The sequence below is a fragment of the Homo sapiens genome, chromosome 12 (genome assembly GCF_000001405.40).
Source record: "Homo sapiens chromosome 12, GRCh38.p14 Primary Assembly".
Lineage (NCBI taxonomy): Eukaryota > Metazoa > Chordata > Mammalia > Primates > Hominidae > Homo > Homo sapiens.
This window is the reverse complement of record NC_000012.12, coordinates 95,521,238-95,542,597: the sequence shown is the minus strand read 5'-3', so window position 1 is coordinate 95,542,597 and position 21,360 is coordinate 95,521,238. Positions and strand designations below refer to the sequence as shown.

Sequence of the window (21,360 nt, the reverse complement as noted above, 5' to 3'; positions counted from 1 at the left end):
TAGAGACAGGGTTTTCACCATGTTGGCCAGGATGGTCTTGAACTCCTCAGGTGATCTGCCCACCTTGGCCTCCCAAAGTGCTGGGATTACAAGCGTAAGCCACTGTGCCTGGCCTACTTTCAACCTCTGATTCAAATATCATAAAGAGGATGACCTGCAGTTAATGCTAGTTGGTTGCTCCAAGAATTTGGTAGCCTGAAAAAATATAGCTGTACATCTATACAATCTTCATAAAGCCCTGAGAGAATTTTTAGGTTAAAAGATGATGTTTGGGATATAGTCTTTTCCTGACCATAAGGAGCCTACCCAACAGTTAGGTGGCAAAGTAAGGATGTATGCACACATAACACAAGGATTCACATTTGGCAAGTTGGCATAATGTTAGCACAATCCAAAGTCCTTTAAGAAATTAAAGAAGGCTGGGCATAGTGTCTCATGCCTATAATCCCAGCATTTTGGAAGGCCAAGGTGGGAGGATCACTTGAGGCCAGGAGTTTGAGACCAGCCTGGGCAAAATGATGAAACCCCATCTCTACAAAAAATATGAAAGTTAGCCAGGCATGGTGTCACACGCCTGTAATCCCAGCTACTTGGGAGGCTGAAGTGGGAGGATCACTTGGGCCTGCAACAACGGAAGTTGCAGTGAGCCAAGATCACACCACTGCTGTCCAGCCCGGGCAACAGAGCAAGACCCTGTCTCAAAAAAAAAAAAAAAAAAAAAAATGGAGATGATATTATTTTTGACTAAAAAGATTTTATGAAGGAGTTGGACCTTGGAGGATGAAGATGAGTTCTGGAAGTTAGCTGGGGCTGACTTTTGGCTGGCGTGCACATGACAGGTAGAAGGGTCATGAGGCAAAGATAGGTTAGAATCTGATTGTGGAGGATTTTGAAAGCAAGACTGACAAATGTATACGTTTTTATTGAAATATTTGTCAAACTATTATGAAATTTGTCACAATCAGCATTTTTTAAATGAAACGGAATATCAGCATACTTTTTTTTGTTTTGTTTTTTTGAGACAGGGTCTTGCTCTTTTGCTGAGGCTGCAGTACAGTGGCACCATCATGGCTCGCTGCAGCCTCGACCTCCCCATGCTTAGGTGATCCTCCCACCTCAGCCCCCCGAGTAGCTGGGCTTATAGGCACACGCAACTGTGCCAGGTAAATTTTGCATATTTTGTTTCACTATGTTGCGCAGGCTGCTCTTGAACTCCTGAGCTCAAGCAGTCTGCCCACTTTGGCCTCCCAAATTGCTAGGACTTTGTATTCTGAGCATGAGCCACTGTGCCCAGCCAGAATTAATTATTATTATTATTTTTTGAAACAGAGTTTCACTCTGTCGCCCAGGCTGGAGTGTAGTGGCGCCATCTCGGCTCACTGCAACCTCCGTCTCCCAGGTGCAAGCAATTCTGCCTCAGCCTCCCAAGCAGCTGGGATTACAGGCACCTGCCACCATGCCCGGCTAATTTTTTGTATTTTTAGTAGAGACGGGGTTTCACCATGTTGACCAGGCTGGTCTTGAACTCCTGACCTCGTGATCCGCCCGCCTTGGCCTCCCAAAGTGTTGGGATTACAGGCGTAAGCCACTGCGCCTGGCCAAAACAAATGTTTTAAATTGCTACTTCCGTATGGTGAGATCAGGGGGAATTTTTTTTCCTCTCCCAATTTTTGTGTAATGAATATGTTTTGCTTTCATAATGAGGAAATTAAAATTATAATTTTTTCATCAAAAAAAGAGTTAAAGGCTCAGAGCAAACTCAAAGGTTAATTTGGTGGGATAGTATGCAGGAGACAATCCAGATGATGGGAGACCAGTTTGGAGGCTACCAAAATATTGTACTCTAGGAACAATATAATAAAATCCATTAGAGTGATAGCTGTGGAAATGAAAAGTAATAGAGACTTAGTGAACAATAACCCTAAGTATACAGTAGTAAAAAAGATGGGAGGGAGAGCAGGGTGTGGTGGCTCACGCCTCTAATCCCAGCACTTTGGGAGGCTGAGGGTGGTCAGATCACCTGAGGTCAGGAGTTTGAGACCAGCCTGGCCAACACGGTGAAACCCCATCTGTACTAAAAATACAAAATTCGCCTTGCGTGGTGGCATGTGCCTGTAATCCCAGCTACTCGGGAGGCTGAGGCAGGAGAATCACTTGAACCCAGGAGGCAGAGGTTGCAGTGAGCCAAGATCACACCATTGCACTCCAGCCTGAGCAAAAACACTGAAACTTCACTCAAAAAAAAAAAAAAAAAAGATGGATGGAAGGGAGGAGTAAAGAAAATCCTTAAGATTTCTAGCCTAGGTCCTAGAATGATAATATAGTATCTGTTAGAGAAAAATACCCGATAAAAAGCTAATTTGGGAAGGTAAGTTGCGTAGGTAAGCTGACTTTGGGTTGTGCCTGAGACTGGTTCAGAAAGGTTAGGGCTAAGGGTAAAGTCTGGGTAGTTAGCTGTCTAGAACTGATGATCAAACCTCTGCTGGAACCTCTGTAGGATGAGTTCATTATCAGAAGAGGTTTGAAGAGCTACAAAAATACAACAGGAAGGTATTACACTACATGCGAAACTGTGGGTTGTAGGTTACAAAGGGCTGTAATTTGAGTTAATAGAAATTAATTTCAGAGAGTCCTCACTGTGGTGAGTATAAGCTGTTTTATGCTGTCGAACTGTAACAAGTTAAATATATTACCTGTGATATTTGATTTTGGAGTTTGATATAAACGGTTGATTAAAAATCCCTTATAAGATCATCTATTTCTCTCCTAATCATTTTAGCTTTTTGTTTAATAAGTGCTTCAATGATATACTAATTCTACATAAAATTAGCTTTCAATAAGTCAAATATAGTTATTTAACTTTAGAGATTTGCTAAAGGGAATTTTTAAAATGCATGCTCAGTCATAGGTGTGAAAAGTATGAAGAGCTTGAATGGCTTTGTTTGAACAAATTAAATGTTTTATTGTCTTTTTGCACTGAAGAATGACAAAAAAGCTTTTAGAATATTTGTAAATACATCTGTCTTTAAAAATGAAAATAGTATACTTGGTGTTTAAAAAGCCATTTCATTGGGCCGGGCGCGGTGACTCATGCCTATAATCCCAGCACTTTGGGAGGCCGAGGCGGGCAGATCACAAGGTCAGGAGATCGAGACCATCCTGGCTAACATGGTGAAACCCTGTCTCTATTACAAATACAGAAAAATTAGCTGGGTGTGGTGGCAGGCGCCTGTAGTCCCAGCTACTCAGGAGGCTGAGGCAGGAGAATGGTGTGAACCCAGGAGGCGGAGCTTGCAGTGAGCCTAGATCGCGCCACTGCACTCCAGCCTGGTTGACAGAGCAAGACTCCGTCTCAAAAAAAAAAACAAAAAAAAAAGCCATTTCATTGACAAGTCACACTGGTAAAAAAAGAAAAAAAAGCCATTTGATAGCTACTGATTTGAATTTGGAGTGTGAAACATTTTTTAAATGCATGAGAATTATAGCACAGATAGTTTTAATCCTTATAGATTTCATTTCAAGCATCCTATTTGTAAGGTGCTATTATATTGGTACAGGTAATATTTTGTCAGAATCTGCATGAGGGATATAAAAATGTTTTGTCAGGTAATACCTCTTTAAAATGAATATACTGCCAAAAATCATACATCCAATCTGCTGACGCCAGAGCGAATGCATAGCTTCACAGCGGTGGATTAGCAAATGAAAAGAGGTGCTCTGAACCCAGTAGAGGAATATAGGAAGTGTCAAGAAAATACTCCCATCCTCCTTTCTTTCCTCCAAGCTCTTAGATCTTTGTGTGATGAGACCCCTTTGGGGATACCCTAGTTACTGTCTGAGTTACTGGAGATCTCTAGGGACAGCAGCCTGGCTCTGCAGCTCCTGCTTTCCACGGTGCCCTTGCCTCTGTCGTCTACCCCTTACTGATTTCTTTCATAAGTAGACAGGGTAAGTGGGCCCCCTGAGCTAAAATATTAATCTCGTGATCCGTCATTCCACTATTCTGGTTTCACGTCTATTTTTAAAAAGATTTTATCTTTGAGAGACCCCCCCCTTTTAAAATGCAAATTCCCCTGGGAGAGGTCAGACCTTAGTTCTTAGCTAACATCTTGATTATCTGTTAGCACCTTAGTTGGGCTTAGTACACATTTGGCTGAGAAGAAGGAATCCCTGGCTAAAAGTGATCAACTAGAAGGAAACTAGCATTTATAATAATAATTTATTATTATTTTATTACTATTGGCAGCTAAGATGTACTCAGGGCCATATTATTAAGTGTCAGGAGTTGTTCTAAGTTAATTCCCTCAACAACCCTATTGGTATTATTACCACTGTTACTTTACAGATAAGAAAACTGAGGTATGTAGCACGTAATTTATGGTCACATAGTAAATCCTGTCAAGTGTTAAACTCGGGGATTTAGATTCCAGTGTGTGCTCGCTCACCGTTTTACTGTAATCCCTCTCTTCTACCATGATGTCTCAGATAGATGACATCTAATCAAGATTTCACCCTTTTCACAATTTTGTATCAAATAGAATGATGTGTTTAATTATAGATGCCACTTCCCTTTGAAGGTCAAGTACTTTGTTATTATCTAAATAGATTTTTTAGCAATAGCTTCAATGAAACAGGTACTTTTTTTGTATTCAAGGGAATTTATTTGCAGAGTAGAGAAAGGAGTAAAGAGGTTAGTGTACAATTTAGCACATACTTAACACTATCTGAGCTGTTTTTATTTAAAACATGTTATTTTTACAATTTTGAAAGTATAGATTAATAAAGAAAGTACAGTAATTTTCAGTCCCATTACCCAGAGGTAACCTCAGAATAAATGTATTCTCACCAGGCTTTTTCCTACTGATCCTTTTCTGAAAGTGTTAACTCATTCTACGTCTTTAAAATTTTGGAATGAAATGATCTTTTTTGCTGGCATTTCCTTCTTCACCTCTGCAAGGATGTTGAACTAATAATTATTTTCGGCCTGGCGTGGTGGCTCATGACTGTAATCCCAGCACTTTGGGAGGCCAAGGCAGGCAGGTCACGAGGTCGGGAGCTCAAGACTAGCCTGGCCAACATGGTGAAACCCCGTCTCTACTAAAAATACAAAAATTAGCTGGACATGGTGACGTGTGCCTGTAATCCCAGCTACTCGGGAGGCTAAGGCAGGAGAATCGCTTGAACCCAGGAGGTGGAGGTTGCAGTGAGCTAAGATAGCACCCCTGCACTCCAGCCTGGGCGACAGAGTGAGACTCTGTCTCAAAAAATAAAATAATATAAAAATTATTTTCTATGGTTTGCCAGAAACATGTTTAACTAAATTTTCTCTGTATTCATTTTATCATTTTGAATAAAAGGTAATACAGAGCCCTAGATCCTTCCCTTAACCTCCAAATTGAGTAAATTCTCTCAACTAATGTTTGTTAAGCACTAATTCTACCTCTGCCCCCTTCTTCAAAACTGCTATACTCCTGCAGCTTTAATTTCCTTATAATTTCTGGACTGCTAGTCTCTCTTAATCACTCGTCCCTTCTCCAGAGCTCTTTGTAATTCAGATCCCTCTGTAACCCACAGATCTGATCATATCATTCTCCTCTACAGATTTCTTCAGTGGCTCTGTGTTGCTCATAGGCCCTAGAAGCAAGCTTGGGGATGATTAGGGCAAGTAATTCTCTGAGTCCCAGGTACCAGCGAGTGGCCTTAGAAGGGGAGTTGCTGGTGTGTGCAGACTTCAGGTGGCCACATGCCCTTGGCCTTGCTGACTACACATTAATAGAGGAGGGTCACAGCAAGGATCCCCTAAAGTGGTTGTTTAGGTCTAGATGCAGACCATGCTACTGTGTGTTGAGAGTAGACTGTTGGTGGCAGTAAGGACAGAAGTGGAGAGACCATCTGGGAGCCTTACTGCAGTAATCCCGGTAAGACTTGATTGTAGCTTGGATCAGGCTGGTGGCAGTAGAGGCACTAAGTAAGTCAGATTCTCAGTATATTTTGGAGGTAGAGTCAATCATTTTTCCTGAAGGATTGATTTAGAGAGAGAGAGTCAAGGATGACTCTAAGGTTTCTTGCCTCAGTACAGAAAGATATGGGATAGTGGAATATATAAATCACTGATGTCTCAATTCTGCCATTAGCAACTATTGTCAAATCCTAGGTGTTCTAATAAAGTACCATATTTGACCAGATTTTAAACCTCTGGAAATTTTTAGAGAGAGGAGTAAATTTAAAATGTGCACTTAAAACGTGTGAAATGGGGGCTGGGCACGGTGGCTCACGCTTGTAATCCTAGCACTTTGGGAGGGTTAGGCGGGTAGATCACTTGAGGCCAGGAGTTCAAGACCAGCCTGGGCAACATGGTGAAACTATGTCTGTACCAAAAATACAAAAATTAGCCAGGCGTAATGGCACATGCCTGTGGTCTCAGCTACTGGGGATGCTGAGGTGCGAGAATCGCTGGAACCTGGGAGGTGGAGGTTGCAGTGAGCTGAGACTGCACCACTGCAGTCCAGCTTAGGTGACAGAACAAGACCCTATCTCAAAAAAAAAAAAAAAAAAAAAGGAAAAAAAAGGAAAGAAAGAAACATGTGAACATGTGAGATTTGGGACTGGTCAGTACCTGATACCTAAAAATTAAGGAACGAATATGAGATTTTACAAAAAGAGGTGGGAAGGAACCAAAAATCAACTGCTTTTGCAGTTTTCTTAAGGCCTGGAGGTGGCACTTGCAGGTACCGTTGAAATTCACAGTTTCAACTGCCCTAAAAATTTAATGCCTTGGTCATGATACATAGGGTGTTTTTAGTGTTCCGTAACTAGGTCTCCACCCAAACCCTGAAATTTGTCTTTGATTTGTATTAAATCAATGAAAAAAGTGTTTGTGATCACGGCTTTTTAAATAAGATTTCTGTTCATTACATGTAAATAACTTACAGCAGAAGTGTTCCTGACTTTAACTGATAAAGGAACAAGTTCTGTGTCAAAAATCACATAAGCTTTTTTAAAAAAATAAGCTTATAATTTCAGATAGGTTTAGGCCTGCTAGAATGTAATAAAAGCTTATTGCCACCCACTTCATATTCTTCCTTTTTTTCTCTTTATTTCCTTGTATGTTTCTGAGAATATTCAAATACAAAAGCACATTCTCCTCTTCTGTCTTTCTCTTTCCCTAAAGCCAACTGTCAAGTCTGTTCGGCCTCAGAGTATGTTATAGAGCCATGAATTAAAGGTAATTATTGATTTACCAAATGGAAAAAAATAAGTTTAATGGTAATATGATTTATTTAAATAGGGTAATAAGATTCGTTCACTATAGATACAATTAAAACTACCATTTACCATGTGTCAGATAAATATTATCTCTCAGTTCTTCAACAACTCAATTGAAGTTGGTATGATTTTCCCTCTTTTACAGATGGTTTAGAGAAGTTAAAACATTTGCTCAAAATCATACATTTAACAGTGTGTGGCAAAGGTACAATTCAAACCTATGTTTTTCTGCCTTAAAACTCACCTTTTCATCTTTGATTATGTTTTATTAACTCCACATAAGGCTCATAATGTTTATAAATATTAGTGAGATATATTTGGGTCTTGCCAACCCCTGTCATTAAGAAAAGGGGCCAGGCACAGTGGTTCACGCCTGTAATCCCAGCACTTTGGGAGGCCAAGGCGGGTAGATGACCCGAGCTCAGGAGTTCAAGACCAGCCTGGGCAACATGACGAAACCTTGTCTCTAGTAAAAATACGAAAAACAGATTAGCTGAATGTGGTGGTGCACTCCTATAATCCCAGCTACCCGGGAGGCTGAGGCACAGCAATCACGTGAGCCCAGGAGGCAGGGGTTGCAGTGAGCTGAGATCGCACCACTGCACTCCAGCCTGGGCCACAGAGCAAGACTCTGTCTCAAAAAAAAAAAAAAAAGGGAATGCAGTTTTGGAAACTGCCCTCAGACTACTGGGTAAAAAAGGATAGATCTTAAGCTATTTCAGTGGAAAGTGATTACTACCCATTTTTCACCACTAGATGGTGGCAGAAAGTTAAAAACAAAAGCTAAAGGCGCCTCATTAGAGAAAGTGAAGTGTCTGTGCTTTCAGAGCAAGGTGGATGTGAGGTTAGGGAAGTTTAGAGAAAGGGAAATGGGAGAACTGCCAATGGTATTATGATAAGCAGCCTAGAAATTGGGAGCAGAGGACACAAATCTTTATTATTCTTGGGAAAAAATATGAAAAATATTAGCATCTTGTTATTAACACTTGACATTGTTCTGTTTAGTTTTCAGATGCTTCAAGTGTTGTGAACAGAGACTTGTTTGGATTATGCATTTCTCAGCTAGACTAAATAAATGCTAGCAATGGATACGTGCAAACATGTTGGGCAGCTGCAGCTTGCTCAAGACCATTCCAGCCTCAACCCTCAGAAATGGCACTGTGTGGACTGCAACACGACCGAGTCCATTTGGGCTTGCCTTAGCTGCTCCCATGTTGCCTGTGGAAGATATATTGAAGAGCATGCACTCAAGCACTTTCAAGAAAGCAGTCATCCTGTTGCATTGGAGGTGAATGAGATGTACGTTTTTTGTTACCTTTGTGATGATTATGTTCTGAATGATAACACAACTGGAGACCTGAAGTTACTACGACGTACATTAAGTGCCATCAAAAGTCAAAATTATCACTGCACAACTCGTAGTGGGAGGTTTTTACGGTCCATGGGTACAGGTGATGATTCTTATTTCTTACATGACGGTGCCCAATCTCTGCTTCAAAGTGAAGATCAACTGTATACTGCTCTTTGGCACAGGAGAAGGATACTAATGGGTAAAATCTTTCGAACATGGTTTGAACAATCACCCATTGGAAGAAAAAAGCAAGAAGAACCATTTCAGGAAAAAATAGTAGTAAAAAGAGAAGTAAAGAAAAGACGGCAGGAATTGGAGTATCAAGTTAAAGCAGAATTGGAAAGTATGCCTCCAAGAAAGAGTTTACGTTTACAAGGGCTCGCTCAGTCGACCATAATAGAAATAGTTTCTGTTCAGGTGCCAGCACAAACGCCAGCATCACCAGCAAAAGATAAAGTACTCTCTACCTCAGAAAATGAAATATCTCAAAAAGTCAGTGACTCCTCAGTTAAACGAAGGCCAATAGTAACTCCTGGTGTAACAGGATTGAGAAATTTGGGAAATACTTGCTATATGAATTCTGTTCTTCAGGTGTTGAGTCATTTACTTATTTTTCGACAATGTTTTTTAAAGCTTGATCTGAACCAATGGCTGGCTATGACTGCTAGCGAGAAGACAAGATCTTGTAAGCATCCACCAGTCACAGATACAGTAGTATATCAAATGAATGAATGTCAGGAAAAAGATACAGGTTTTGTTTGCTCCAGACAATCAAGTCTGTCATCAGGACTAAGTGGTGGAGCATCAAAAGGTAGAAAGATGGAACTTATTCAGCCAAAGGAGCCAACTTCACAGTACATTTCTCTTTGTCATGAATTGCATACTTTGTTCCAAGTCATGTGGTCTGGAAAGTGGGCGTTGGTCTCACCATTTGCTATGCTACACTCAGTGTGGAGACTCATTCCTGCCTTTCGTGGTTACGCCCAACAAGACGCTCAGGAATTTCTTTGTGAACTTTTAGATAAAATACAACGTGAATTAGAGACAACTGGTACCAGTTTACCAGCTCTTATCCCCACTTCTCAAAGGAAACTCATCAAACAAGTTCTGAATGTTGTAAATAACATTTTTCATGGACAACTTCTTAGTCAGGTATGGATTTTTAAGAATCTTATTTTCATCATTGGGAGTTCATAAAGTGTAGCCTATAAAAAGGCATATTCTATGTACATCTAGTGTGTTGAGCTAGTACCATTTTCAGGTCAAAATAGATTGTTTTTATAAATATGTATAGAGAAATCAGCTCACTCAATTCCTTCTTTCATGAATCATTGGAAGTAGTTTTACATCTATGGTAGCAAAAGCTTTTGGAGGGAGGGAGAAATCAGGAGACGGAGCTCTCTAGGTTACCAATATTACATTCATTATCTGAGGGATTGAGAAGAGGAGGGTTTAATCCCAGAGGGAACGGATTTAAAGATGCTGCTATTCTCGGGATGAAAATGGTGCACATGGCCGGGCGTGGGGGCTCACACCTATAATCCCAGCACTTTGGGAAGCCAAGGCGGGTAGATCAGCTGAAGTCAGGAGTTCAAGACCAGCCTGACCAACATGGTGTAACCCCATCTCTACTAAAAATACAAAAGCTAGCTGAGTGTGGTGGCAGACGCCTGTAATCTCAGCTACTTGGGAGGCTGAGTCAGGAGAATCGCTTGAACCCAGGAGGTGGAGGTTGCAATGAGCTGAAATCACACCACTGCACTCCAGCCTGGGTGACAGAGCGAGACTCCGTCTCAAAAAAAAAAAAAAAAAACCCAAAGAAAGAAAGAAAATGGTGCACACTTGAGCAATTTCAGGGACCAAGGAGTAGCCCTGGAGGACTTCCTATAAAATCAAAGGGTCATGGTCTGAGAGCTTTAACAAGTAGGTAGGGAAATTTTAAGGTAAACAAATGTGATTTCATCTAGAATAATCTTATATGATTTTCCTTTATTTTAATTACTACTCAAAAGTTTCCTTTGTCATGATAAGGTGGACTATAAAACCAGAATCTTCGAAGTAAAGGTTCTCTATACTGAGTGGACTTATTGGTGAACTGTTAATAGACATAAGGTTCTCTACTTTCCCATAACACACAAATTTAAACAAAATTTTTTTTATAACTGAGGCTATTAGGCTTTTAGGTCATTTCCTTCCCCCTGCACACCTGCCTCTGTTCTTCAGTTCAACTTGCATTGTAATAAGGCCATCTTTTGTTTTTATAGCATACTTTCCTAAAATGTTGTTTAAGTATTTCAGATGTAATTCTTCTTAAGGAATATCTATGAAGTTTATTTTTCAGTGTTTCAGAAATGCAAAGATTTTGTGTCAATTAGCAAATAAGAATTGTACTGCAATTTTACTTCTCCATCTTTCTCTGTCATTTCCTTTTTATGCAAAAGTTTTAAAATACACTGTTACAGAGTGCAACATATAGTTGCAGGAAACCTATATAATATAGGAAATCTATATAGAAGGAAAGAAAAATCATTCTCTAATCCTATAACCCCACAATCCATTGGTAAAACTATTTATATTTTGGTATATTTTCTAGTCTTTTTTTCTCCTGCACATGTATAAATATTTTTTCCCATAATTGGTCATTTTGCATTTATCTGCTTTTCCCATTTAATATTGTAATTATTTTCCAATAATTAAAAATATTTCATCATTCTTTTCAAAACATTTCAATGTTCATAATTTTTTTGTGTGTTTTTTTTGGTATATGTCTGCTATTTAACATCATATGTTTTTTTTTGTTTTTGTTTTTGTTTTTTTGAGACAGAGTCTCACTCTGTTGCCCAGGCTGGAGTGCAGTGGCGCGATCTCGGCTCACTGCAAGCTCCACCTGCTGGGTTCACGCCATTCTCCTGCCTCAGCCTCCCAAGTAGCTGGGACTACAGGCGCCTGCCACCACACCCAGCCAATTTTTTGTGTTTTTAGTAGAGACGGGGTTTCACCATGTTAGCCAGGATGGTCTCGATCTCCTGACCTTGTGATCCACGCGCCTCGGCCTCCCAAAGTGCTGGGATTACAGGCATGAGCCACTGCTCCTGGCCACATCGTATGTTTATACCGTAACTTAACCATTCCCCTATTGTTGACTGTTTTTAATTTTTTTCATTATTATAATGTCATCAATTAATTTTTCTGACTTCCTTATGACAGAGTCTTAGAAGTTGACTTTGTCAGAGTAAGACTTCTGATACTTGGTGACAAAGTTCTTTCCAGAAAGTGTTTTTCTTTTATATCTATCTATCTATCTATCTATCTATCTATCTATCTATCTATCTATATTTCCAGTAGTATGAAAGTTGCTATGTGCTTATTTTTTCCTTTATAAATGTATTTTCAAATTAATAAAAATTATTGTACCAGCTTTTTGCTTCTCTTTCTTTAATACACTCTTAGGGAACTGGTTCTCAGGAGATTTAAGACAGTTGGTTGCTGTAATGGCTTTTCCTTTCTATTTTTTATTTTTTTTATAGAGACAAGGTCTCACTGTGTTGCCCAGGCTGGTCTCAAACTCCTGGGCTCAAGCAGCCCTCCCGCTTTGGCCTCTCAAAGTGCTGGGATTACAGGCATGAGCCACTACACCCAGACTGGGATGGCTTTTTGTGTGTTTTTGCTTTTGTTTTTGTTTTTTTTGTTTAATTCAAGAAAATTCTCAAAATGTCTGGCCCTGGCACTACTGAGTCCTTAGACTATAAACGCCAGGAGAGTTCTTTGTGTCAATTTGTGAAATCTAAAATCTGTATTACAACTGGCTTCTTTATTTTGTTGCCTGTGCCAGGACTATAGCTTGTATGAAAGAGGTTCTTTATAATATTTCATATCATATGTGAATTGTTAGTTCATGGAGTCTGTCTTCAATTATGTGCAGTGTTTGTTGGCATTAAATCCTGCTGAATGTTTCACTGAAGTTACTATTCATTTCCTTTCCGGTTGCTACATTGCCTATGTAAGTTGTTAAAACAGCTCCATGTTTTTCGTGTTTTCTGTGTTTGGATGGGGATTTTAATGTTATGTTTGCTTTAAGTAGGAGTATGACATCATTATTTATGTCATATATCTTGTCTTTTGAAATTATCAGTTGTCAGGGCCTTAAAATCTGCATAATGAAAAGATAGTATTTTACTTGTAATATGGTTAAGATTGGATTGGGTTAAGAGGTTATAGGATTTGGGGTTAGGAAGAAAAATCAGCAAAAGATGAAGGAGAGGCCGGGCATGGTGGCTCACGCCTGTAATCCCAGCACTTTGGCAGGCCGAGGTGGGCGGATCGCCTAAAGTCAGGAGTTCAAGACCATCCTGGCCAACATGGCGAAAGCCCGTTTACTAAAAATAGAAAAATTAGCTAGGCGTGGTAGCTGGCACCTGTAGTCCAGCTACTCAGGAGGCTGAGGCAGGAGAATCGCTGGAACCTAAGAGCCAGAGGTTGCAGTGAGCCGAGATTGCGCCATTGCACCCTAGCACTGGGGACAGAGCGAGACTCCATCTCAAAAAAAAAAAAGATGAAAGAAACAGTGAGGAACCTCAAGCCTAATGACATAAATACATTAAACTTAATGCATGTGAATGTACATCATATGTATATATCTATGTATACATAGATATATGTATATATGTATATATGTATACATAGTGTGTTTCTATTCAGTGTGTCCACAGTTTGGATTTTTACCTAAATTTAATGCCCTTAGAGCTTTTTGAATGCCCAGTAGTTAAAGCAACCAATTCATGATGGCTCTGATAACAATCTTTTGGAAGGAAAAATCATAATGAAAGATTTCCTGACAAGAATATAAAGCAGATTATTCAGAATCCTAATGGTGCATTTTCATGAGAAAAGTTTATTTAGTGGCAGTGACCTCTAGTGAAAAGAGTTAATGTTTTGATGGAAAGATTATAATCTTAGGAACTCATATTCTCATTTGCAGGTTACATGTCTTGCATGTGACAACAAATCAAATACCATAGAACCTTTCTGGGACTTGTCATTGGAGTTTCCAGAAAGGTATCAATGCAGTGGAAAAGATATTGCTTCCCAGCCATGTCTGGTTACTGAAATGTTGGCCAAATTTACAGAAACTGAAGCTTTAGAAGGAAAAATCTACGTATGTGACCAGTGTAACTGTGAGTAAAGACGTTGTGTTCTTGGTGCTTTCCTAGGAATGATAAAGAGAAACGCAGATGAGAGGAAGCTGAAAGAAATCTTTAGCAGTTATGAAAATGAACTTTTTTTCAGTTCATCAAAAGAAACAGACGTTTTCACTTTATAATTGGCATTTATGAACTATGCATTTGTTTGGCCATATTGATGGAATTTAAATTGTTTCTGATCTTGTAGACAATTTTGGAGAGAGAAGATTCATAACAAGTTTAAATATGATATGTGGAGCAAAATAAAGTAGCAAAGAGGAATAATGAAAGGAAAGCATGTCATGTAGCATGAATGAAACACTTGCTTTATGAGCTTTTTTGGCTACATATCAAAGTGATATGTAGATAAATGCGTGTGTGTATGTCTATATACATAAAATAGGAAATAATATATGCAGGACTGCTGCTGTGGAGATTGGCTTCATCAAAACAAAGATTTATTCAAAACCATGCACTGTCTCTTCTGTGTTAGTTATTCCCAGTGTCTATAGATAGAGGTGAGATACTGTCAAGGTGCTTACATTCCTAATGGAGGAAGCAGATAGACAGGATCCACTATGATAAGTGCTCTAATGGAGGAGAGCACAGGAACCTGACACTGGGGGTGAAACAGCCACTTCAGTTAAAAGAGAAGCGTCTTCGGCCAGGTGCAGTGGCTCACGCCTGTAATCCTACCACGTTGGGAGGCCGAGGTGGGCAGATCACCTGAGGTCAGGAGTTCAAGCCCAGCCTGGCCAATGTGGTGAAACCTCGTCTCTCCTAAAAATACAAAAATTAGCTGGGCATGGTGGCACGCACTTGTAATCCCAGCTACTCGGGAGGCTGAGGCAGGAGAATTGCTTGAACCCAGGAGGCAGAGGTTGCAGTGAGCTGAGATTGTGCCACTGCACTCCAGCCTGAGCAAGAGTGAAACTCTGTCTCAAAAAAAAAAAAAAAAAAAAAAGCATCTTCCTCCAAGGAAACAGTGTATAAAACCACATCAGATCTGCTGTGTTGGCCAGGTGCGGTGGCTTACGCCTGTAATCCTAACACTTTGGGAGGCCGAGGCAGGTGGATCGCTTGAGGTCAGGAGTTCAAGACCAGCCTGGCCAACATGGCGAAACCCCATCTCTACTAAAAATATAGAAATTAGCCGGGTGTGGTGGAGTGCATCTGTAATCCCAGCTACTTGGGAGGCTGAGGCAGGAGAATCTCTTGAACCCAGGAGGCGGAGGTTGCAGTGAGCCAAGATCGTGCCACTGCACTCCTTCCTGGATGACAGAACAAGCCTCTGTCTCAAAAAAACACACAAAAACATCTACTGTGTCTTTATTTCCTCTGTTGATGTGTATATGTAGTGGGAGTTAAGCTATGAGGATGCAAAGGCATAATAATGATCGAGTGTGGGCTGGGCACAGTGGCTCACACCTGTAATCCCAGCACTTTGGGAGGCTGAGGTGGGCAGATCACCTGAGGTCAGGAGTTCGAGACCAGCCTGGCCAACATGGTGAAACCCCATCTCTACTAAAAATACAAAAATTAGCTGGGCATGGTGGCGTGCGCCTGTAATCCCAGCTATTCAAGAGGCCGAGGCAGGAGAATCACCTGAACCTGGGAGGGGGAGGTTGCAGTGAGCCGAGATCGCGCCATTCCACTCCAGCCTAGGCAACAGTGCGAGACTCTGTCTCAAAAAAAAAAAAAAAGAATGATCCAGTGGACTTTACAGATTCAGGGGAGAGGGTGGGAGGGGTGAGGGATAAAATGCTACACATTGGGTACAGTGTACCCTGCTCAGGTGTTGGGTGCACCAAAATCTCAGAAATCACCACTACAGAACTTATTTATGTAACCAAACACCACCTGTTCCCCAAAAACCTATTGAAATTAAAAAAAAGAATAAGATATACTTACATAGCATCTTAGTATTTATACTATATAAACATATAGTGTAGTATAGTGTAGTGTATAGTAAACTATGCTATAGTTTATACTATGCTATATATATTTTTTCAGGTATTCTCCCTAATTTCCCTATCTCGCAAATAGATTCTAAGGCTTTAAATAACTAAACTTTTAAGGTAAACAAAAAATAGGATATTCCCACATTGAAGAAATGTTATATCAATTGATGGTTTCCTGGAATGACTTTAACACTTTTGTATAAGTGCTGTCTAATGTGAACGCATAAAGTAGCCTTAAATTTATAAGGTTTTTTTTTGTTGTTTTTTTGAGACAGAATCTCGCTCTGTCACCCATGCTGGAGTGCAGTGGCACAGTCTCGGCTCACTGCAAGCTCCGCCTCCTGGGTTCAGGCCATTCTCCTGCCTCAGCCTCCCGAGTAGCTGGGACTACAGGCGCCCGCCACCACGCCTGGCTAATTTTTTGTATTTTTAGTAGAGACAGGGTTTCACCGTGTTAGCCAGGATGGTCTCGATCTCCTGACCTCGTGATCCACCCGCCTCTGCCTTCCAAAGCGCTGGGATTACAGGCGCGAGCCACCGCGCCCGGCCTATAAGGTTTTTTTAAAAAATAAATCTTTGTCAAAGTTGTTATGATGAAGTATTATTTTTTCTTGGACATAAATGTGGTGAGTGCCAAATGCTTTCATCACCAAATTTGGGGGTGATGTTATGAATGCAGAATATGGTTTTATAGCAAATTTCTATGTGTTTACTAAAGCTACCAAATACAGGCCTAAAAGAGCTGCTTTAACACAGCAGTGCAAATGTTTACAATTATATGCCGAGGAGTTGATATCCCCTATCTGGCTACCCTTGGACCGATGTGCTAGGAGACAATCCAGAGGTAGGTCCAGGACATTCAGCAGCAGCCAGATACCTGGATCGCAGGGTTAGACACCTGGAAGAAAGGCCAGCGAAGGTGGCTTAGAGCTCAGCTTCATGGTGGACTGAGCCTGCTTCCCACATGAGAAGCAGCTGCTGCCATGGCTGGAGTCGGAGCTGGTGTACAAGTTGAAGGATAGCTCCTGGACATCAGGAGCAAACTGTAGCTGATGGCCCAGCTCCAGGACAGTCCATAGGTGGACCTCTAGGGAAGCAGAAGGGACAACAAGAAGAATCCTGAGTTCCAGCTGTCTAAGATCTAGTGCTAAAAGAGCAAAAGCAAAACGCTTGAGTGAGGGAGGCCTCAGAACTGGTAAAGTCCTGCTTTCCTAGGCCGTTGGCCAGGGCTGAGGTGGTCCCCAGGAAAAGTGGAGGGATGTTCTGGGCAATCAGGACCTTCCTCTGGGTTTCTGACTAGCCTTGGTAAATGAACTGACCACTCACTTTTTTTTTCTTTTTTCTTTTTTAAATCTTTTGACCACAAACTTTTAAATTAAGAGTTTGGGAAATGTATATTAAAATGTTTAGGGAATGTTGTAACTTTTCCTATTAATTGGTATAGCCAGTTCCATTTAAAAATATTATTATGGCTGGGTGCAGTGGCTCATGCCTGTAATCCCAGCACTTTAGGAGGACGAGGCAGGTGGATCACAATGTCAGGAGTTCGAGACCAGCCTGGCCAACATAGTGAAACCCCGTCTCTACTAAAAATACAAAAATTAGCCGGGCATGGTGGCACGCACCTATAGTCCCAGTTACATGGGAGGCTGAGGCAGGAGAATTGCTTGAACCCAGGAGGCGGAGGTTGTGGTGAGCCGAGATTGTGCCACTGCACTCCAGCCTGGGCAACAGAGTGAGATTCTGTCTCTAAATAAATAAATAAAAATATTATAGCAGTATACTTTGTTCTATCACATTATATGCAAGATTATTATTAAATCATGTACTTGATTACAGATCTGTCTAACTTGACTAGCTCCTAAGTTTTTTGGTTAATTGTGGATCATGAGTTTCTTGAGGGCAAAGCCCATGTCTATCTCTAGCACAGTACAATGCCTGGAACACAGTACATACTTTTCATTTCTGACTTAATTAAAAAGAAGGTTCACTCAGCTTTTCCCTGAATCTTTAAATGAAATTTGATTTTTATTCTTTCTTTGATGTTACAGCAAAGCGTAGAAGGTTTTCCTCCAAACCAGTTGTACTCACAGAAGCCCAGAAACAACTTATGATATGCCACCTACCTCAGGTTCTCAGACTGCACCTCAAACGATTCAGGTCTGTAGTAGGACCAGTTGCAAAGTTATCATTCCTTGTGCTTATAATGCTTCAAAACTTAAAGAATGCATGTTATAATTTTTTCCCCTTACTTTAATCACCTTTCTGACAAATGAATTAACTTTTAATATCATATACTTGGCTAGTAAATGACTTACATTTGCTTATTTGTTTATTTATTTAGAGATCGAGTCTCACTCTGTCACCTAGGCTGGCGATAGGGTTTTACCATGTTGCCCAGGCTGGTCTCAAACTCCTGGGCTCAAGCGATCCACCCACATGGGCCTCCCAAAGTGCTGGCCGGGCAAGGTGGCTCACACCTGTAATCCCAGCACTTTGGGAGGCCGAGGCAGGTGGATCACCTGAGGTTAGGAGTTCGAGACTAGCCTGGCCAACATGGTGAAACCCCATCTCTACTAAAAATACAAAACTGTAGCCGGGCATGGTGGCGCATGCCTGTAATCCTAGCTGCTCAGGAGGCTGAGTCGGGAGAATCGCTTGAACCTGGGAAGTAGAGGTTGCAGTGAGCCGATATCGCACTGTTGCACTCCAGCCTGGGCGACAGAGTGAGACTCCATCTCAAACATACATATGTACGTACATACATACATAAACATAAAAATAAAAATACAAAAATTAGCCAGGCGTGGTGACACACGCCTGTAATTCCAGCTACTTGGGAGGCTGAGACAGGAGAATCACTTGAACCCTGGAGGCAGAGGTTGCAGTGAGCCAACATCATACCATTGCACTCTAGCCTGAGTGACAGAGCGAGACTCTGTCTCAAGAAAAAAAAAAGAAAAATGTTGAGATGACAGGTGTGAGCCACCGTGCCCAGCAGAATATTTCTAATACCTTTGATGTCCCCTGTGTGTGCCTGTCAATCTTGTTCCTTTCCCCTCTTCAGAAGCAAACCATTATGAATTTTGAGTATAGTGTTACCTTATTGTTCTTTATCAGTTTATTGTATCTCTTTTTTTTTTTTTTTTTGGTAGAGACAGGGTTTTGCCATGTTGCCCAGGCTAATCTGGAAACTCCTGAGCTCAGGCAATCTGCTCACCTCAGCTTTCCAATGTGCTAGGATTACAGGCGTGAGCCACCGCACCTGGCTGAGAGATATTGGAAAAACCGAACTCAGTTTCTCCTACCATACTCTTACAACAGAGAATACGAATGTGACCTCTGCTTACCAAAATGTGTAGGAGATTTCTCCCCACCAAGCAAGTCATCAGTTCTGCAGTGGATGCGAGCTGGGTGTCCTCTAATTCAATTTAGTTCTGACACTGTCTACCTGGAGGTAGCATCAGATCCCACAGATGGAGAGCTCAGTCCCACAAGACTGACCCCCACTTCAGACCCCAGTCATAACTCCAGGTTTGTGGAAATTGTGACCAACCTGTTGGCTGTAAATGTAATGGGATTCCCACAAGCTGCTCCCCTGGTTTGATTAATTTTCCAGAGGGCCCCCACAGAACTCAGGGAAACCTTTGTGTTTACCCATTTATTACAAAGGAGAGTTTCAAGGATCCATATGAACAGCCAGATGGAAGTCATGTGTAGGGCATGGCTTGTGGGAAGGGGCATATAGGTTCCACACCCTCCCTGGGGGTGCTGCCCTCTGGGGACTTCAGCATGGTTAGCTATCCGGAAGCTCCAGAAGCCCATCCTTTTGGGTTTTTATGGAGGCTTCAGTACATAGGCATGACTGATTACATCATTCAGCCCCATTCCCTTTGGGGGTTGGGGGCAGTGTTTGGAAGGAAGCTGAAAGTCCCAATCCTCTAGTCATTCCCGGGTCTTTCCTGTGACTTGCCCACATCCTGAAGCTATCTAGGGGTTGCCAGCCACTAGTTGTCTCATTAGCATACAAAAGACACACTTTTTTTTTTTTTTTTTTTTTTGAGCCAGAATTTCGCTCTTGTCGCCTAGGCTGGAGTGCAATGGCGCAATCTCAGCTCACTGCAACCTCTGCGTCCCGGGTTCAAGCGATTCTCCTGCCTCAGCCTCCCCAGTAACTGGTATTACAGGTATGCACCATCAAGCCTGGCTAATTTTTGTATTTTTAGTAGAGACGGGGTTTCACCATGTTAGCCAGGCTGGTCTTGAACTCCTGACCTCAGGTGATCCACCCACCTCGGCCTCCCAAGGTGCTGGGATTACAGGCGTGAGCCACCACGGCCAACCAAGACACTCTCATCACTCCAGAGATTCCAAAAATTTTAGGAGATGTATCTGAGGAAACTGGAAGGAAAACCAAATATATATTTCACAACCCCACAGAGAGATTGGAATATGACTTATGGTCCAGCAGATAACATAATTTGAATGGTTCATCTTTAGTTCCGTGCCATTTTACACTGGACTAAGCATTTTCACTTTTTTTTTTCCATCATAAAACTATGTTCTTGTCTCTCCCTTCTCTACCTGCTATTGGTCTGAACCTCATGTTTTAGTACTTTACTACTATATTTTTATCTATGTCTGCCTTGTCTCTCTACCATACTACCCCAAACTGGATTATAATCTCTTGAACTACCATGTTACATTATTTTCCCCTCGTAGCACCAACTCATTATGCATATTGATAAACACATTGCTTGCCATGCTGAGATCCAGTAATGGGAAGTATGACCAGCAGACTGAGAAAATAACAGGGTAAGGGCATTCTTTCAGTTCTGTCACCAATGGGCGGTTGTGCTGACTTACACACAGCGAGGGGACACAGTTCCTGTTGTTTTAGTCTGAAAATCTCTGAAGTGTTCTGAGGAAATAGAGATGCCCTGTTTTGTTTTCCTCCATACCTGGCCAAGAAAGATCCAGATTGTAGCTCCCATCTGGGATAACCCTCTTCATATCCTGGCAAGACAGTAAGGAATTAAAAACCCTTCGGTGGGGCTGGGCACAGTGGCTCACACCTGTAATCCCAGCGCTTTGGAAGGCCAAGGCAGGAGGATCACTTGCAGTCAGGAGTTCAAGACCAGCCTGGCCAACATGATAAAGTCCTGTCTCTACTACTAAAAATACAAAAATTAGCCAGGCATGATGGCACACAGCTGCAGTCCCAGCAGGAAAATGGCTTGAACCTGAGAGGCAGAGGCTGCAGTAAGCCAAGATCGCACCACTGCACTCCAGCCTAGGTAACAGAGCAAGACTCCGTCTCAAAAACAACAAAAAACAAAAAAATCCCCAACCCTTTCGTGGCCTTGACTTTTACCTGTTAGGGGGTAAATGCCCCCATAAGGCAATACTTTCCCAAAAGTTAAATTTTTTTTTCCTACATTATCATCTAACTACAAGAAGGCAAAATAAGCCAAAATGTCTCCATTTATAGCCAGCTTCAGCATTGACATCATTTTATATTACATATGATACTTTGTATTCCATGCTGCCTGGGGTCATCTGTTACAAGTGTCTAGACCTAGTACGTGGTTATTTTCCCTTA

The 21,360-nt window shown here is 41.4% G+C and overlaps 1 protein-coding gene across 28 annotated transcripts in view, besides 1 other annotated feature; it reads left to right on the top strand.

Moving 5' to 3' along the window:
- Nucleotides 1-21,360, top strand: part of USP44 (ubiquitin specific peptidase 44) — a 35,122-nt gene that overhangs the window by 9,084 nt on the left and 4,678 nt on the right. For 6 of the 28 annotated variants that reach the window (XM_011538803.1, XM_005269172.2, XM_011538805.3 and 3 more), the window contains exons 2-5: nt 8,272-9,769; nt 13,596-13,791; nt 17,810-17,918; nt 20,481-20,573. In XM_011538803.1, coding sequence (XP_011537105.1) covers nt 8,342-9,769; nt 13,596-13,791; nt 17,810-17,918; nt 20,481-20,573 — 1,826 coding nt within the window. In that variant the 5' untranslated portion in view covers nt 8,272-8,341. Of the gene's footprint in view, nt 1-7,171; nt 7,226-7,411; nt 7,472-8,271; nt 9,770-12,539; nt 12,868-13,595; nt 13,792-17,809; nt 17,919-18,999; nt 19,293-20,480; nt 20,574-21,360 lie in introns of those variants that run through there. The other 22 variants (XM_047429645.1, NM_032147.5, XM_047429644.1 and 19 more) reach the window with 12 other exon arrangements.
- Nucleotides 19,416-19,916: an enhancer, noted in NCBI's record as "H3K27ac hESC enhancer chr12:95916458-95916958 (GRCh37/hg19 assembly coordinates)". NCBI's record gives its function as "activates a minimal SCP1, AML or CMV promoter by ChIP-STARR-seq in primed H9 embryonic stem cells {active_cell/tissue: H9 hESC(primed)}" and the evidence as "EXISTENCE:reporter gene assay evidence [ECO:0000049][PMID:30033119]".